Source organism: Homo sapiens, chromosome 6 (genome assembly GCF_000001405.40).
Source record: "Homo sapiens chromosome 6, GRCh38.p14 Primary Assembly".
Classification (NCBI taxonomy): domain Eukaryota; kingdom Metazoa; phylum Chordata; class Mammalia; order Primates; family Hominidae; genus Homo; species Homo sapiens.
In genome coordinates this window covers 31,348,750-31,367,380 of record NC_000006.12, presented here as the reverse complement: position 1 = coordinate 31,367,380, position 18,631 = coordinate 31,348,750, and the positions used below count along the sequence as shown (strand labels likewise).

Below are 18,631 nucleotides of genomic sequence, written 5' to 3'. Positions count from 1 at the left end.
CTGCCATCTGCAGGCTCTTGGCCATCAGTGTAGAGGGAGCGGGTCCTCACCTCTCCACAGGCGCCTTCACGGCCAGAGCCTCCTCTCTGCATGGGGAGTAAGGCCTGGCCCTTCCCCTGAACACGGTGACATGGATCTCGCCAAAGGTGGAGATAACACCATTCCTCCCCCACCAACCTCACGCTTCTTTTGCTTTACAGGAAGATTGACGCAGGCTGGTGTCCAGTGAAGAAATGCGTGGTGCGTAGGAAGGAGAGGTGGATCTCAGGGCTGTGCGTGATCTGCAAAGGAAGCGCATCGACCACCAGGTGGCGCTGCTGCGCTGCTTCTGCTCCCTGGAGGTGGATGCCCAGGACGAGCTTTGAGGTGGAGAGAGGGATGTCATGGCTCATCCTCCAGTTTCCAAGTAAAAACCTTCCGGCCAATCTTGGCCGCGCGTCCTGGTGTAGCGAGCGGGCTTGGAGGAGCTCACCGCTGCTGTCATGGTTCGTTTGCTAAACTGCATCGTCGCTGTGTCTCAGAACATGGGCATCGGCAAGAACGGGGACCTGCCCTGACCGCCGCTCAGGAATGAATTTAGGTATTTCCAGAGAATGACACAATCTCTTCAGTAGAAGGTAAACAGAATCTGGTGATTTTGTGTAGGAAGACCTGGTTCTCCATTCCTGGGAAGAATCGACCTTCAAAGGATAGAATTAATTTAGTTCTCAGCAGAGAACTCAAGGAACCTCCACAACGAGCTCATTTTCTTGCCAGAAGTCTGGTTGAGATCTTAAAACTTACTTAACAACCAGAATTAGCAAATAGAGTAGACATGATTTGGATAGTTGGTGGCAGTTCTGTTTATAAGGAAGCCATGAGTCGCCCAGGCCATCTTAAACTATTTGTGACAAAGATCATGCAGGACTTTGAAAGTGACACGTTTTTTCCAGAAATTGATTTGGAGAAATATAAAATTCTGCCAGAATATCCAGGCGTTCTCTCGGATGTATTAAGTACAAATTTCAAGTATATGAGAAGAATGATTAATATGAAGGTGTTTTCTGGTTTATTTTAAGTTGTTCCCCCTCCCTCTGAAAAAAAGTTTATATTTTTACATTAGAAAAAAAGACTTTTGTTGACTTTAGATCTTTGGATAATTATTTCTAAGCAACATGTTTTTACTCCCCACTAATCTTGACTATATCAGATACCACTTATGAAATATTCTTGCTATAATTAAGTGCCTCTCCAAGACCCTGACTGAGTCCCCAGCACCTGCTACAGTGAGCTGCCATTCCACACCCATCGCATATGGGACTCTTGCCAGTCCTTGACATTGTCGGGCTTTTCAAATGTTGGTAGTATTTCTTAAAGATGAAGATGCACATACCCTCCAACTGAGAAGTTTCACTAGTGGGAAATACCGAAAGCTCCTTACGTGTATACCCAGAGGTTTGCACGCAAATGTTGCAGCCTTGTTTGTAACAGTGAAAAATTGAAAACAACCTGGAAGTCCAGTGATGGGAAAATGAATATATTTCTGTCTTTTGGGGAACCCAAAGCAGGTTCCAAGACTGCAATTTCAGTGAAAGCAGTTTATTTTCTAGGTCTTACCAGAAATCATCAATTGAGGTACGGAGAAATGGAACTGAGAAGGTAAGAAAACCAGTTTAAAGCCAGTGAGCAGGTTCTCACTGGTAACAAACTCCATACTGCTGAGATACAGGGAAACGGAGGGGAGAAAGCTGGCATATTGATCCCCCACTCCTTGGTTGTCAGCTCCCTGTCCTGTGTGTGGGCAGAATGTACTCCAGCTGCTCTATAGCAAGTCCCAGGTGTTTGCAGTAAGAAGCTGCTGGCATGCATGTGAACAGTGAATGGCAAACACTTAAAGCAATTTCATGTTTAAGTATATAAGCTCTTCATATCTTTTTTTTTTTTTTGACAGAGTTTCGCTCTTGTTACCCTGACGGAGTGCAATGGCACAACTTCAGCTCACTGCAACCTCTGACTTCCCAGGTTCAAATGATTCTCCTGCCTCAGGCTCCCATGTAGCTGGGACTACAGGCACGTGCCACGACGCCTGGCTAATTTTGTGTTTTTGGTGAAGACGGGGTTTCACAATGTTGGTCAGGCTGGTCTCAAACTCCTGACCTAAAGTGATCCGCCTGCCTCGGCCTCCCAAAGTGCTGGGATTATAGGCTTGAGCCACCCCAGATCTTTATTCTTTTTATGTAGTAAAAAGTATAAAGCCACGCATGGTTTATTTGAAATATTTTATGTTTTAAAAAAATACAGAAGCAGGAAAACCAATTCTAAGTTCAAGTGAGGGATGATGGTAGTTTGAACCAAAGGGTTGCATGTAGTAAGAAACTGTGATTTAAGATATATTTTAAAGTCAGAAGTAGCAGGATATTCTGATGGAGTTTGCCCTGGGTTTGGGCCCACTGAGTTTGAGATGCCTTTGAGAAATGAAGAAAGTAGAGAGAGAATAAAAGAAAAACTGGCCAGGCACAGTGGCTCATGCCTGTAATACAGTGGCTCAGCATTTTGGGAGGCAGAGACAGGCAGATACCTTGAGATCAGCTTGGGCAACATGGTGAAGCCCCATCTCTACAAAAAATACAAAAGTTAGCTGGGCATTGTGGCGCACACCTGTAGTCCCATCTACTCAGGGAGCTGAGATGGAAGGATCAATTGAGCCTGCGAGTTCGAGGCTGCAGTGAGTTGTGATTGTGCCACTGCACTCCAGCCTGGGTGACAGAAGAGACCTTGTCTCGAAAAAGAAGCTGAAAACAATGGAACCATGCCTTCAGAATTCCAGAAAGAAAGTTATTTTCAACGAATAAATCTATATTCAGCCAAATAATCAAGGGTGAAGGTAAAATAATACATTTTTAGGCAAGCAAAGACTCAGGGGTTACCTCCATGTATCTTTTGTTGGGAAACTATTGGAGAAAATACTCCAGCAAAATGAAGGAGTAGACAAACCAGAGAATGACATGGATCCAGCAAATAGGATCCAACACAGGAAATATTCCAGCTATGGAGCTGGCTTTAAAAAGAAACAGTAAAAATATTAATAGGTTAGCTGGGTGGAATGGCCCATGCCTGTAGTTCCAGCTACTCAGGAGGCTAAGCAAAGAGGTTGGCTTGAGCCCAAGATTTCCAGACCAGCCTGGCCACCATAGTAAGATTCCCTTCTCTTAAAAATAATAATAGGTTATGGCCAGATTTGGGGCATTTGGAAAGTAGTTCATTGAAGATAAAGCAAAAGTTAAAAAAAAAAAACAAGGGGGAAGGGTGGTTAGGCAATCATTAATTCTAGGGCAGAAGGAAGCACAAGGCAGGAAGCAAGAGCATAATACTCTGTTTTTCTCAACAATGAGCAATATGTACATACTCATAATGATGTGGTGACTACTTAGCCCCTAAATCTGGTAACTACTTTGGGACAATATGGGGGGAAAAGTGAAGGTAGTGATGGTGTAAGAGCTAAATCCTCATCTGTCATATCAAGAAATTACTATAGAATGTATAAAATAATCAAGAAATGACTAAGTAGTTATGTGAGAAAAAAATAGAAGACATTGCTAAAAGAGTTAAAAGTCATTGCTCTGGAGAATTAGGAGGGATGGGGCAGGGGACTGTTAGGATGCATTATAAACTGAAGAGGCTTTTTAAAATTACATGTATTAATATATGCACCCACTTGAAAAACTAAAAAAATAATAATTTGGAAAAACCCATGAAGGTAACTACCAGGAGGAAAAACTAAGAGAATGAAAAGTGTTTGCCTCTCGAGAGAACAACTGGCAGGACTGTTGTTTTCATTGTAAGACTTTTGGAGCCATTTGATTTTACTTAACCATTTTCATGTATTCCTTTAATAAAAACAACTCTATCATAATAAAAAGTCACACTTGTTCATAGAAAACAAACAAACAAACAAACAAACAAACAAAAAAACCTTCCTGCCCAGCCCATCTCATTCTCCCTGAATCCTCAGTGCTAATGAGGACTGTCTCCTTCTCACCTGCCTGGACTGGGCTTTTTAACACTGGAAAGTGGATGTGATTTCTAGTTTCAGCAGGTCCTGGTTTATTGTGCTGCCAGTAAAATAAAATCAAAATACACACTGAATAAATAATAAATAAAATAACCCATGGTGAGCAAAGGTTTACAATGTTTGTTGTTGTTGTTGTTGTTTGAGTCAAGATCCCACTCTGTGGTCTGGGCTGGAGTCCAGTGATGCGATCACAGCTCACTACAGACTTGAATCCATAAGCCCAAGGGATCTTCCCATCTCAGCCTCCCCAATACCTGGGAATGCAAGTGCCCACCACCGTGCCCAGCTAAGTTTACTTATTTTTATATCTTTTAGAGACGAGGTTCTCACAATGTTGTTCAAGCTGGTCTCCAACTCCTGATCTCAAGCAATCCTCTTGCCTTAGCGTCCTGAATTGCTGGGATTACAGGGGTGAGCTGTCATGCCCAGCTTGTAATGTACTGACACCTTCAAGATTTCCTTCTCCAAGTGTGGACACAGCAGCAGACGCCCCTTGTCTCTTGGGTCAGGACACTGGGTAGAGTGGAAGAGCAAGACAACAAAGTCACTGCAGAAAGCATACATGTGGAAGAGGTCCAGCAGGGAGGGCCAGCTGTCCCAGGGACACCATATTTAGGGATAACTCCTCTTTCTGGGCAGGACTGTTCTTTGATTACTTTTATATTCACGATAGTTCTGAAATCGTAGGATGATGATACTCAAGACTGGCTAGGATTTGTTTTCAAAAAACCATCTCCGAGACTTGTCGATCTTTTGAATGGTTTTTAGTGTCACAATTTCCTTCAGAACTTAACTCATTCTTAACATTTCACAGACTACTTTCAGTTAATAATGTACTAGTGCCCATAAATATAGAAATATTGCAACCATTTATCCTCTATAAAATGTCCATCTTTTATGGTATAGATATTATATGTAATATATCTATATAGGTTGTAAGTCCCACGATAAAAAACTTTTTCTTATCTTTAAACAGTTCTATGTATATAAAGTAAGAATAAATGAGGAGAGCAAGATAGCCTTTTGCACTTAGCTCAATATTTACCATTTTTGATCATCTTCATCTTTTTTGATAATCTCATTTTCCACCTGGTATCATTTGCCTCTAGTCTGAAGAATTTTCTTTACCAATTGTAATTGTACAGATCTGCTGGTGACAAATTCTTTTAATTTTCTTTTACCTGAAATATCTCATTTGCCTATCCTTGAAGGACATCTATGCTGGATATAGAATTCTTAGTTGATCTTTTTGTCTTCCAGCACTTTAAAGATGTTATTCTACTTTCTTTTGTTTCTATGGTTTCTAATAAAAAGTCATTGATCAGGACAAGAGGAACAGAGAAACAAAAACCGGGAAAATAACATGGTAGACGTGAAACTTATCATATCAATAATGACAAAAACCTATATGAATCAACACTCCAATGAAGGGCAGAGATTGTGTGACTTGGTTTAAAAAAACACGGAACCCAACCATACGCTCTTTCCAGACATGCACTTTCTTTGTTTTTTTTTTTAATTTAACTTTTATTTTTAGTTAAGGGGTACATGTGCAGGTTTGTTATATAGGTAAACTTGTGTCATGGGGTTTTGTTTCACAAATTATTTCTATGCCCATTAGTACCCACCCAAGTATTAAGTCTTAGTTCCCATTAGCTATTTTTCCTGATCCTCTCCCTCCTCCCACCCTCCACCCTCAAGTGGACCCCAGTGTGTGTTGTTCCCCTCTGCATGTCCATGTGTTCTCATCATTTAGCTCCCACTTATAAGTGAGAACATGTGGTATATAGTTTTCTGTTCCTGCATTAGTTTGCTAAGAATAATGGCCTCCAGCTCCATCCATGTTCCTGCAAAGGACGTAATCTCATTCTTTTTTATGGCTGTATAGTATTCTATGGTGTATATGTGCCACATTTTCTTTATCCAGTCTACCATTGATGGGCATTTAGGTTGATTCCAAGTCTTTGCTATGGTGAATAGTGCTTCAATGAACATATGTGTACATGTAAGTCACTCACTTTCTCTTTTTATTTAATTTATTTTATTTTGCTTTAAGTTCCAGATACATGTGCAGAACGTGCAGGTTTGTTACATACGTATAGTCTGCCATAGTGGTTTGCTGCACCTATTCACCCATCCTCTAAGTTCCCTCCTCTTACCCCCGACTCCCCAAAAGGCCCTGGTGTGTGTTGTTCCCCTCCCTGTGTCCATGTGTTCTCATTGTTCACCTCCCACTTAAGAGTGAGGACACGTGGTGTTAGGTTTTCTGTTCCCATGTTAGTTTGCTGACGATGACTTCCAGCTTCATCCATGTCCCTGCAAAGGACATGAACTCATTCCTTTTTATGGCCGTGTAGTATTCCATGGTGTATATCTACCACATTTTCTTTACCCAGACTATCATTGATGGGCATGTGGGTTGGTTCCATGTCTTTGCTATTGAAAATAGTGCTGCAATAAACATACCTGTGCATGTGTCTTTATAGTAGAATGATTGATATTCCTTTGGGTATATACCCAGTAAAGGGATTGCTGGGTCAAATAGTATTTCTGGTTCTACATCTCTGAGGAATGGTCACACCATCCTCCATAATGGTTGAACTATTTTACATTCCCACCAACAGTGAAAAAGCATTCCTATTTCTCCACAGCCTCACCAGCATCTATTGTTTCCTCACTTTTTAATAATCGCCATTCTGGCTCGCAGGAGATAGTACATCATTGTGGTTTTGATTTGCTTTTCTCTAATGATCATTGATATTGAGCTTTTTTTTCATATGTTTTTTCTTCTGAGAAGTGTCTGTTCATACCCTTTGCCAATTTTTGATAGGGCTGTTTTTTTTCTTGTAAATTTGTTTAAGTTCCTTGTAAACATACATGTGAGCTCTCATCATTCTTGTTTAAACACCTAAGAGGCATCCAAATCAGTGCAACATGGCAAGAAAATGAAATAAGAAACCAATAGAAGGACCAGGCATGGTGGCTCATGCCTGTAATCCCTGCATTTTGGGAGGTTGAGGTGGAAGGATCACTTGAGTTCAGGAGTTTGAGACCAGCCTGATAGTGAGACCTCATCTCTACCAAATAAAAATAATTTTAAAAGAAAAAAGATCAATAGATAGGAAAGGAAGAAACAAAAGTCTTTGTCACCAACTTCATTGCATATGTAGAAAACACTAGGGAATTCTGAAAAAGTCTCTGGAATTAATCACTGAATTTGCAAAATAGTTCATAAAATATATGTAGTAAGTCACTTAGATGAACATGAAAAGACAGCAAACAATACTAGTCATCAAAGAAGTGCAAGTTAAAACCACAATGAGAAACCATCACACATCACCTAGAATAGATAAAGTTAAAAAGACATTGGATAAGTCTAAATACTGTCAAGAATATGGAAAAAATAGGAATGTCTGATATTGCTGGTAGGAATGCAAAAAATGTGGCAGCCAATTTGTAAAGTGGTATGGCAGTTTCTTATACAGTTACCCATCTATTACCACATGGCCCAGCAATTCCACAAATATGTATTTATCCAAAAGAAATAAAAATGTAAGGCCACACTTGTAAGCAGTTATTTATAGTGGCTTCATTAATAACAAACCCTAACTGGAGGAATCCACATGTCTATCAACTGGAGGCAGAGAAACCAATGAATAAGCTGGGATTCCAGCAATACTCAGCAGCTGCTCAGCAACAAAAATGAATGAATGGCATCATCTCACACATCGTTATGCTAAAGGAGAGACCAAACGAAGGACTACATAACATACGACTGCACGTCCATTACATTCTAGAAATTTCAGTATTGCAGTGACAGAAAACAGAGTGGTGGTTGAGTGAAGGGAAGGGGTGAGGGTGGGAGGCAAGGATTAAATAGAAAGGGGCAGAAAGAAAGTTTTTAGGGAAAAGAAACGGTTCTCTACAGCGCCACAACTCAGAGGTAACTGGGTGGTGGGAACTAAGGGGAGAGGAGGGTGTGAGGGAAGAGGACAGAGAGAAGGGCTGGGGAAGCAGGAGGTGAGGACAAGGAGCAGGAGAAAGGACTCTAAAGCAGTGGAGGAGCCTAGCAGGGGATTCTTTGCATTCTGGGTTTCTCTACTGGGCAGTGTGGTAGTTACATGACTATAAATAATTACCAATATTCGCCAAAAAAGCGCAGCTAAAACTGGTGAATTTTATTACACATAAATGCCCTAATAAGCAAAAAAAAAAAAAAAGGGGGGGGGGAGGGGAGGCAAAAATAAAGACATTTTTAGATAATCAAAGCCATAAAATTAATTTCCTAGGGGTCCTGTACTACATTTAATTTTAAAGGAAGTGCTTCAGGGTGAAGGAAAATGATACTAGATGGTGACCCAGATATACAGAAAGGAACAATTAACAACAGAAATGATGCACATACACATGTCACATTCACACTCATTTTCTTAATTTCCTGAAGACATATGGCTACTTGTTTAAAACAAAAAGTATTGCACTGTATCACTGAGTCTATAATATAGGTTGATGTAATATATACAACAATAATAGCACAATGGTAGGTTACAAGAAACTACACTGTTAGAAGTGTCCTTTATTTTGCTGGATGCAGCTTAATATAACCTGAACTTCACTGTGAAAAGTCAAGGAATCGGGTTTCCATTCTTTGCTATTGTGTAAAGAAATATAGCCAAAAGCCACTAGGAGAATTAAAACCATAAACTAAAAAATGTTTATTTGACACATAAGAAAGTAGTAAAGGAGGAACAGAAACAAAAAGATATGAGACAAATTGAAAACGTATAGCAAAATGGTAGACCAAAACCCAACCATTGCAAGTGAAGAAATGACATGACCTGAGTCACATTAGCAGGACTGCTGAGCACTGTGGGGAGAACAGATATGGGCAGGAGGTGAGGGACAGTGTTAGTGCCACAATTCAGGAGTGACAGGGTGGCGGGGACTAAGGGGAGCGGGGGTGTGAGGGATGAGAGGGGCAGACAGAAGGGCTGGAGAGGCAGGAGGTGAGGAAAAGGAGCAGGAGAAAGAATTCTAAAGCAGTGGAAGAGCCTGGCAGAGGGTTCTTTGCATTCGGTATTTAATACATTTTGTTGGACTTCCTAAAAACTAATTGGCTCCTTATGATTAAAAAAAAAAAGAGTTACAAAAATACCAAGTGTTCAGATAAAATACGCACACTGCTTGGATGTGCAGAGTTCAGGAAAACAGGCAGTGCTTCAGCGTCGGTGAAGAGCATTGGGACTGCATGGAGCACTCGCAACTTTGAGGTGATGACTACAGGCTCCCGGTTGCAATAGACAGTAACAAACCCTGCTTCTTTATATTCAGGAGATGTTCTGGACTCACACAGGGAAACTCAGGGTGGGGAATGAAGATAATTTTAAATGCAACAACCCAGAGTTACAGATCCACAGTCTGGGAAAGTAAAACTTAGGAGCTTTGAGAGTTTAATTGTAATGCTGTTTTGACACAGGTCTTTTACAAATTGGAATTCTAATCATTCAGGGATTACCAATATTGTGCTACCTACTGTATTAACAAACAAAAAGGAAACTGGTCTCTATGAGAATCCCTATGCGGTGCCTTCAGAGAAAACTTCACCAGGTTTAAAGAGAAAACCCCTGTCTCTACACCTCCATTCCCAGGGCGAGCTCACTCTCTGGCATCAAGTTCCCCGTGCTCAGTTTCCCTACACAAGAGTCCAAGAGGAGAGGTAAGGAGTGGGAGGCAGGGAGTCCAGTTCAGGGACAGGGATTCCAGGACGAGAAGTGAAGGGGAAGGGGCTGGGCGCAGCCTGGGGGTCTCTCCCTGGTTTCCACAGACAGATCCTTGTCCAGGACTCAGGCAGACAGTGTGACAAAGAGGCTTGGTGTAGGAGAAGAGGGATCAGGACGAAGTCCCAGGTCCCGGACGGGGCTCTCAGGGTCTCAGGCTCCGAGGGCCGCGTCTGCAATGGGGAGGCGCAGCGTTGGGGATTCCCCACTCCCCTGAGTTTCACTTCTTCTCCCAACTTGTGTCGGGTCCTTCTTCCAGGATACTCGTGACGCGTCCCCACTTCCCACTCCCATTGGGTATTGGATATCTAGAGAAGCCAATCAGCGTCGCCGCGGTCCCAGTTCTAAAGTCCCCACGCACCCACCCGGACTCAGAGTCTCCTCAGACGCCGAGATGCTGGTCATGGCGCCCCGAACCGTCCTCCTGCTGCTCTCGGCGGCCCTGGCCCTGACCGAGACCTGGGCCGGTGAGTGCGGGTCGGGAGGGAAATGGCCTCTGCCGGGAGGAGCGAGGGGACCGCAGGCGGGGGCGCAGGACCTGAGGAGCCGCGCCGGGAGGAGGGTCGGGCGGGTCTCAGCCCCTCCTCACCCCCAGGCTCCCACTCCATGAGGTATTTCTACACCTCCGTGTCCCGGCCCGGCCGCGGGGAGCCCCGCTTCATCTCAGTGGGCTACGTGGACGACACCCAGTTCGTGAGGTTCGACAGCGACGCCGCGAGTCCGAGAGAGGAGCCGCGGGCGCCGTGGATAGAGCAGGAGGGGCCGGAGTATTGGGACCGGAACACACAGATCTACAAGGCCCAGGCACAGACTGACCGAGAGAGCCTGCGGAACCTGCGCGGCTACTACAACCAGAGCGAGGCCGGTGAGTGACCCCGGCCCGGGGCGCAGGTCACGACTCCCCATCCCCCACGTACGGCCCGGGTCGCCCCGAGTCTCCGGGTCCGAGATCCGCCTCCCTGAGGCCGCGGGACCCGCCCAGACCCTCGACCGGCGAGAGCCCCAGGCGCGTTTACCCGGTTTCATTTTCAGTTGAGGCCAAAATCCCCGCGGGTTGGTCGGGGCGGGGCGGGGCTCGGGGGACTGGGCTGACCGCGGGGCCGGGGCCAGGGTCTCACACCCTCCAGAGCATGTACGGCTGCGACGTGGGGCCGGACGGGCGCCTCCTCCGCGGGCATGACCAGTACGCCTACGACGGCAAGGATTACATCGCCCTGAACGAGGACCTGCGCTCCTGGACCGCCGCGGACACGGCGGCTCAGATCACCCAGCGCAAGTGGGAGGCGGCCCGTGAGGCGGAGCAGCGGAGAGCCTACCTGGAGGGCGAGTGCGTGGAGTGGCTCCGCAGATACCTGGAGAACGGGAAGGACAAGCTGGAGCGCGCTGGTACCAGGGGCAGTGGGGAGCCTTCCCCATCTCCTATAGGTCGCCGGGGATGGCCTCCCACGAGAAGAGGAGGAAAATGGGATCAGCGCTAGAATGTCGCCCTCCGTTGAATGGAGAATGGCATGAGTTTTCCTGAGTTTCCTCTGAGGGCCCCCTCTTCTCTCTAGACAATTAAGGAATGACGTCTCTGAGGAAATGGAGGGGAAGACAGTCCCTAGAATACTGATCAGGGGTCCCCTTTGACCCCTGCAGCAGCCTTGGGAACCGTGACTTTTCCTCTCAGGCCTTGTTCTCTGCCTCACACTCAGTGTGTTTGGGGCTCTGATTCCAGCACTTCTGAGTCACTTTACCTCCACTCAGATCAGGAGCAGAAGTCCCTGTTCCCCGCTCAGAGACTCGAACTTTCCAATGAATAGGAGATTATCCCAGGTGCCTGCGTCCAGGCTGGTGTCTGGGTTCTGTGCCCCTTCCCCACCCCAGGTGTCCTGTCCATTCTCAGGCTGGTCACATGGGTGGTCCTAGGGTGTCCCATGAAAGATGCAAAGCGCCTGAATTTTCTGACTCTTCCCATCAGACCCCCCAAAGACACACGTGACCCACCACCCCATCTCTGACCATGAGGCCACCCTGAGGTGCTGGGCCCTGGGTTTCTACCCTGCGGAGATCACACTGACCTGGCAGCGGGATGGCGAGGACCAAACTCAGGACACTGAGCTTGTGGAGACCAGACCAGCAGGAGATAGAACCTTCCAGAAGTGGGCAGCTGTGGTGGTGCCTTCTGGAGAAGAGCAGAGATACACATGCCATGTACAGCATGAGGGGCTGCCGAAGCCCCTCACCCTGAGATGGGGTAAGGAGGGGGATGAGGGGTCATATCTCTTCTCAGGGAAAGCAGGAGCCCTTCAGCAGGGTCAGGGCCCCTCATCTTCCCCTCCTTTCCCAGAGCCGTCTTCCCAGTCCACCGTCCCCATCGTGGGCATTGTTGCTGGCCTGGCTGTCCTAGCAGTTGTGGTCATCGGAGCTGTGGTCGCTGCTGTGATGTGTAGGAGGAAGAGTTCAGGTAGGGAAGGGGTGAGGGGTGGGGTCTGGGTTTTCTTGTCCCACTGGGGGTTTCAAGCCCCAGGTAGAAGTGTTCCCTGCCTCATTACTGGGAAGCAGCATGCACACAGGGGCTAACGCAGCCTGGGACCCTGTGTGCCAGCACTTACTCTTTTGTGCAGCACATGTGACAATGAAGGATGGATGTATCACCTTGATGGTTGTGGTGTTGGGGTCCTGATTCCAGCATTCATGAGTCAGGGGAAGGTCCCTGCTAAGGACAGACCTTAGGAGGGCAGTTGGTCCAGGACCCACACTTGCTTTCCTCGTGTTTCCTGATCCTGCCCTGGGTCTGTAGTCATACTTCTGGAAATTCCTTTTGGGTCCAAGACTAGGAGGTTCCTCTAAGATCTCATGGCCCTGCTTCCTCCCAGTGCCCTCACAGGACATTTTCTTCCCACAGGTGGAAAAGGAGGGAGCTACTCTCAGGCTGCGTGTAAGTGGTGGGGGTGGGAGTGTGGAGGAGCTCACCCACCCCATAATTCCTCCTGTCCCACGTCTCCTGCGGGCTCTGACCAGGTCCTGTTTTTGTTCTACTCCAGGCAGCGACAGTGCCCAGGGCTCTGATGTGTCTCTCACAGCTTGAAAAGGTGAGATTCTTGGGGTCTAGAGTGGGTGGGGTGGCGGGTCTGGGGGTGGGTGGGGCAGAGGGGAAAGGCCTGGGTAATGGGGATTCTTTGATTGGGATGTTTCGCGTGTGTGGTGGGCTGTTTAGAGTGTCATCGCTTACCATGACTAACCAGAATTTGTTCATGACTGTTGTTTTCTGTAGCCTGAGACAGCTGTCTTGTGAGGGACTGAGATGCAGGATTTCTTCACGCCTCCCCTTTGTGACTTCAAGAGCCTCTGGCATCTCTTTCTGCAAAGGCACCTGAATGTGTCTGCGTCCCTGTTAGCATAATGTGAGGAGGTGGAGAGACAGCCCACCCTTGTGTCCACTGTGACCCCTGTTCCCATGCTGACCTGTGTTTCCTCCCCAGTCATCTTTCTTGTTCCAGAGAGGTGGGGCTGGATGTCTCCATCTCTGTCTCAACTTTACGTGCACTGAGCTGCAACTTCTTACTTCCCTACTGAAAATAAGAATCTGAATATAAATTTGTTTTCTCAAATATTTGCTATGAGAGGTTGATGGATTAATTAAATAAGTCAATTCCTGGAATTTGAGAGAGCAAATAAAGACCTGAGAACCTTCCAGAATCTGCATGTTCGCTGTGCTGAGTCTGTTGCAGGTGGGGTGTGGAGAAGGCTGTGGGGGGCCGAGTGTGGATGGGGCCTGTGCCCATTTGGTGTTGAGTCCATCATGGGCTTTATGTGGTTAGTCCTCAGCTGGGTCACCTTCACTGCTCCATTGTCCTTGTCCCTTCAGTGGAAACTTGTCCAGTGGGAGCTGTGACCACAGAGGCTCACACATCGCCCAGGGCGGCCCCTGCACACGGGGGTCTCTGTGCATTCTGAGACAAATTTTCAGAGCCATTCACCTCCTGCTCTGCTTCTAGAGCTCCTTTTCTGCTCTGCTCTTCTGCCCTCTCTCCCTGCCCTGGTTCTAGTGATCTTGGTGCTGAATCCAATCCCAACTCATGAATCTGTAAAGCAGAGTCTAATTTAGACTTACATTTGTCTGTGAAATTGGACCCGTCATCAAGGACTGTTCTTTCCTGAAGAGAGAACCTGATTGTGTGCTGCAGTGTGCTGGGGCAGGGGGTGCGGGGAGGGGGTTGCTGTCGAAAGAGGGATGGGGAGGGAGGGCACACAAGCAGCACTGCTGAGAAAAACATAGGCGGCCTCTATCTCAGTGTGAGGGGTCCTTGTGCTGTAGCTGCCACAAAACAGCACTTGGCCTGAGGCTATGTTAATAAAGATACTGCCTTCAAAATAGGGAGGTGCTCTACAGTGATCATTCATTCAACTGACCTTTGTCATTGGCCAGACATAGGACAGAATGGTTCTGCATCTGGGGAACACCACTGAAGTAAAAGAAAAATCTCTGGCCTTTTGTAGCATATGTTCCAGTGGGAAGAGGCAGACGATAGATACATTATAACCAGAGTAAGGAAGGAAAGTGCTAGAAGGTGGTAAGTGCTGTGAGGCAGGTGATCCAGGATGTGGGCAGTGGGGACAGGGAAGGTGGCTGTTGTGCTGGGTAGTCAGTGTGTGCCTTGTTGCAAAGGTGACTTTTGAGGAAAGATTTGAGAGACATGAGGATGTCTGGGGAAGTTCTTTCCAGGCAGAGGAAGCTCCAGTCCAAATGCACTATGGCAGGAAGGTGTTTGTGTTCCCAGAAGAACAAGGAGGCCAGGAGGGCTGGACGGAGAGAAACTGAGGTGAGGTCAGAGGTGCGGCCAGAACAGGTGGGCTTGAGGGGAGTGGGGTTGGATCTGGCCTTTGCTCTGAGTGGGATGGGGAGTTAGAGGACAGTTTTGAGCAGAAGAGAGCCATGATATGACTTCTGTTTTAAAAGGATCTCTCTGACGGCTGTGCTGAGAACAGAATTGAGAGGCGAGGGACGAGGGAGGCAGAAGGGAAAACAGTAGGAATCGAGTGCAGTATTCCAGGCTGGAGATGTCGGTTTCCTTGACTGGGGCGTGAGCAGGGGAAATAGTGGGGCGTGAGGGGATTCTGGATGCATTTGAAGATGGACTCACAGCATTTGCCAATGGATTGTATCTGTGGTGTGAGAAAGACGAATCAAGGACACCCATAGTTGTAAAATGAGTGAGTAGAAGGATGGAGCTGCTGTCAGTGGAGATGGGGAGACTCTGGCAGGAGCGTCCTGAGGAGGGGGCATCACAGGCACTCAGTGGAGGAGATGTCTACTAGGAAGGCAGGTGGGGGAGCTGGGGTGGAATTTGGACAGACAACTCCAGAGTTTAGGGGAAAGGACTGGGCTGGAGAAATAGATTTAGGAGGTCACACCATATATATGAGACTTAAAACCTCAGGCATGGATGAAGCACCAAGGGAGTGACTGACTATGGAAAAGAATGAGCACAAGGACTGAACCCTGGACCAGTTCTAAGGGGTGTGATCAGACCACACCCAGAGCAGACTGCACAGTTCTGGTCCCACGTCTAGAGGACACTCAGACAAGGAACCCCCATGTGCACCAGGATCACCTGGATGTGGTGCTGAGATCCAGGAAGTCTGGAGTTGAGCAAGAGATTCTGGATTTATGACAAGGCTGGAGCTCATGTTGCTGGTCTCCAGATCACACTTGGAGTAGCAAGAGCACCAGGATCCCACATGTCTGAGCATCAGCCTCGCCTCTAGGGCTTGTCATATAAATGATTCCTTGGTCTTGTGCATAATACTCTGAGACAAGGGTTCTGGGGAGTGGCCTGTGTATTTTCTAAGTCCCCGCCAGCAATCCTATTGCTCAGACAGATTGGGAGCCACTGAGATCAGTGATCAGAGAGTGCCCAGGGTGGGTGGGTGGGGTGGGTTTTCAAACCCTGTTTAAAAGAGGATTTTTCTCACAGAAAGAAAAGGGAGGCTGTATATCATCAGTTATGAGAGGTGATATTCTCTGTTGTTCTCTCCACCATGGGGTAGAGGCCAGGTAGACAATTCAGGATGTGGCTCTCGCACAAAGAACACCTCTGAATGCCGCTCTCTGACACTCGCCCGCAGACTCATTTCTCACTCACTTCTTGGAGAAAACTATGGAAACCACATTTCTGTAATGTACACAGAAAGTCGTATATCTGGTATTGGGGGCTAGTTTTATTGTGGGGAAGGCTACAGAAGCAGGCTGGAAACTACACATCCGGGAACAGAATTCACAGCCCACCCTGGATCAGGTCCCTCCTAGGAACAACTGCCCCTGCTGCTGAGCACAGACGCCACTGCTCACACCTCTGACACCCTGGTCCTGGACACTGGACCCTGAGGCTAGGACAGATGTCACTGCTGCACATGGAAATTGGACATCACTACTGTCACTCAGCCATCTTTACTAAAATGCTTTCTGCACAGTCCTAGCCTCTCTGTCACCTCATTCTGGCTGAGTCTGGCAGTGATATAGGAGTTAAGAAGAAATTATTTAGACAGGTAGTGAGGGTACGCAAGGCTTTTAATGGAAAGCAGGCTCCAAATTATTTTCTTTTCTAACAAGGAGCAGCCTGTAATATCAAGCTTCAGACATAGACAAGTAAGCTGGAAGTTTGCACGGGTGAATGCCAGCAGCTGTCCAATAGGAATAGGACGCCTGGGACTGGGTATGTTCACAATGGCGGCTCCATCTTCCCTTCTCTTTGCCAGGCACGTTTACAGTAAGGAGCAGACAACATGTCACCAGCCAAGTGGAAAGCCCATTTGCATAATAGGATGAGGGTGGGGTGAACAGCCTTCCACACGCACTATGTAAATATCACACCTGGTACAACCAACCTGTGGGCCCTACATAAATCAGACACCATCTCCTCAAGCCTGCCTGTAAAATCCGATGCACTCCCATTCCAGGCCGGAATTCCCTTTTGGGTGCCCCTCTCTCTCACAAGAAGGAGCTGTTTCCCTTTGTCTTTCTTTTGCCTATTAAACCCTTTGGTCCTAACTCACTCCTCGTGTGTCAGTGTCCTTAATCTTCTTGGCGTGAGATGACGAACACTTAGTATTTACCTGAGACAATGACACCTCTTCAGCAGGTGGTCATCAGACTGGTGGAGCTTAAAACTCATGTCCATGAGCAACTGCAGGGGTGACTGGAGTGTTGTTGTCCTCTTCCAGGGAGGGAGGTGGTGTCTGTCTCCTCTCAACATTTTACATGTTGTAAACCAAAAATAAACATCAAAGCCACCCCTTCCCAATCATTTTAATGGACACCCTCAGCCAGGGTGCTCAAAAGTTAACCTGAAAGACTGGCTCAGGCCACCAAGGGAAGCAGGTATTGAACATGTCTTATTATGCCCTCTTCCCTCTTGGAATTCAGGAAAAGTTGACCAGCATTTACCATCAACACAGACCTTCAGTCTGATCAGAAACATTTACAATCTATACTCTCTGAAGCCTGGCACCTGGAGGCATCATCTGCATGAGAATTTTGGACTCCACAACCTTTTATCATAACCCAGACATTCCTTTCTATTGACAATAACTCAACCAATTGCCAATCAGAAAAATTAAAAATCTACTTATAACCCAGAAGCACTACCCCGCAACCCTTGCTTGCTTCAAATTGTTCCAACTTTCTGGACCGAACCAATGTATAGCTTAAATGTATTTGATTGATGTTTCATATATTCCTTAAATGTGTAAAACCAACCTGTGCCTCAACCACCTTGAGCACATGTTCTCAGGGTCTCCTGAGGGCTGTGTCATGGGCTGTGGTCACTCATTGTTGGCTCAGAATAAATCTCTTTAAATATGTTACTGAGTTTGACTCTTTTCATTGACAGTGTGGAATTCTGATGTAGTAAGCGGGTTCAAGTGCTGGAGTGTGAGGGGTGGGGAAAAGTGACAAATTTTAATTCTTGGAGCAGTGATCCAGGACGAGAACTTTATCTGGTACCCAGTAGGCACGAAGAGTGGCTGAATGAACCAGTGACTAATAAATAACATATTTCCACCCATTCCCTTGAGGATAGGTTTACATCAAGTTTTTGTCTATCCCAGTTTATACTCTAGATTATTGGAGTGGCATTCTGTAATGATGAAATGATTATTCAAACATCTTCCCTCAGCATGACTCTTACTAGGATTAAAACTCCCAGGTTTGTAAGATCTCAGAGGTTCTGGGTCCACACGATGTTTTCTATTAATATTTATATTTTCTTGTGTGTGGAAATATTTCTGGGGAGAGAATCTCTAACATTTATTAGTTTTTATGTGACACCCTCAAAGGCCTAAAAAATCCTAACTTCTAGATTAAAGGTAGGACCACTCCACGTCTAGACAATGAACAGCTGGTAGCAACCTGTGTTTAGGGACATGAAACAAATGCTTACATTTGTTTATCTTTTCCTCTGGGACCGAAGAAGGTAGAGGTTTACTTGCTTACTCTTACTATAAGTTTCTCTCTGTGGGATGGTGATGGGGTTTTCTTCCACCCAAATAACTTTCTGATTCTCCAACAGCAGCTGGGAGTCCTAGAGCTTGACTCAATTCTGACACTAACTACCTGGAGTTCGCCTCAGACTCCACAGGTTTACCAGCTCAGTCCTACAAGTCTGTCCTCACTTCAGAAGCAAGTCACAAGTATCACGTCCCAGGTTACCTGCACTTCTGTCTAACATGGCTGCAAAGTCAGGGGTTTCTCACCTCCCAAGGATTGAGAATTCTTAAACTAACACAAAGAACTCAGGAAGTTGCTATAGCCATGTAAACC

At 46.4% G+C, this 18,631-nt stretch overlaps 1 protein-coding gene, 1 non-coding gene and 1 pseudogene across 2 annotated transcripts, besides 1 other annotated feature; all 3 read left to right on the top strand.

Annotated features, from left to right (window-relative positions):
* DHFRP2 (dihydrofolate reductase pseudogene 2) lies at window positions 416-3,914 on the top strand (annotated as a pseudogene).
* Window positions 10,136-10,759: an enhancer, noted in NCBI's record as "H3K4me1 hESC enhancer chr6:31324399-31325022 (GRCh37/hg19 assembly coordinates)". NCBI's record gives its function as "activates a minimal SCP1, AML or CMV promoter by ChIP-STARR-seq in naive H9 embryonic stem cells {active_cell/tissue: H9 hESC(naive)}" and the evidence as "EXISTENCE:reporter gene assay evidence [ECO:0000049][PMID:30033119]".
* HLA-B (major histocompatibility complex, class I, B) lies at window positions 10,202-13,506 on the top strand. Its single transcript, NM_005514.8, has 8 exons — window positions 10,202-10,295; window positions 10,424-10,693; window positions 10,939-11,214; window positions 11,789-12,064; window positions 12,158-12,274; window positions 12,716-12,748; window positions 12,855-12,902; window positions 13,085-13,506. Exons 1-7 carry the CDS (start codon window positions 10,223-10,225, stop codon window positions 12,896-12,898), a joined length of 1,089 nt encoding a protein of 362 aa, NP_005505.2. The 5' UTR covers window positions 10,202-10,222; the 3' UTR covers window positions 12,899-12,902; window positions 13,085-13,506.
* Window positions 12,065-12,157, top strand: MIR6891 (microRNA 6891). Its single transcript, NR_106951.1, has one exon. It is a non-coding gene; the product is annotated as a microRNA 6891 (primary transcript).

Bases quoted from the DNA above. Each gene is read 5' to 3' on its own strand.
- HLA-B (NM_005514.8), top strand. From the start codon at position 10,223: ATGCTGGTCATGGCGCCCCGAACCGTCCTCCTGCTGCTCTCGGCGGCC. The intron at 11,215-11,788 runs GTACCAGGGGCA...TCTTCCCATCAG, and splicing joins GGACAAGCTGGAGCGCGCTG to ACCCCCCAAAGACACACGTG. The intron at 12,065-12,157 runs GTAAGGAGGGGG...CTCCTTTCCCAG, and splicing joins GCCCCTCACCCTGAGATGGG to AGCCGTCTTCCCAGTCCACC.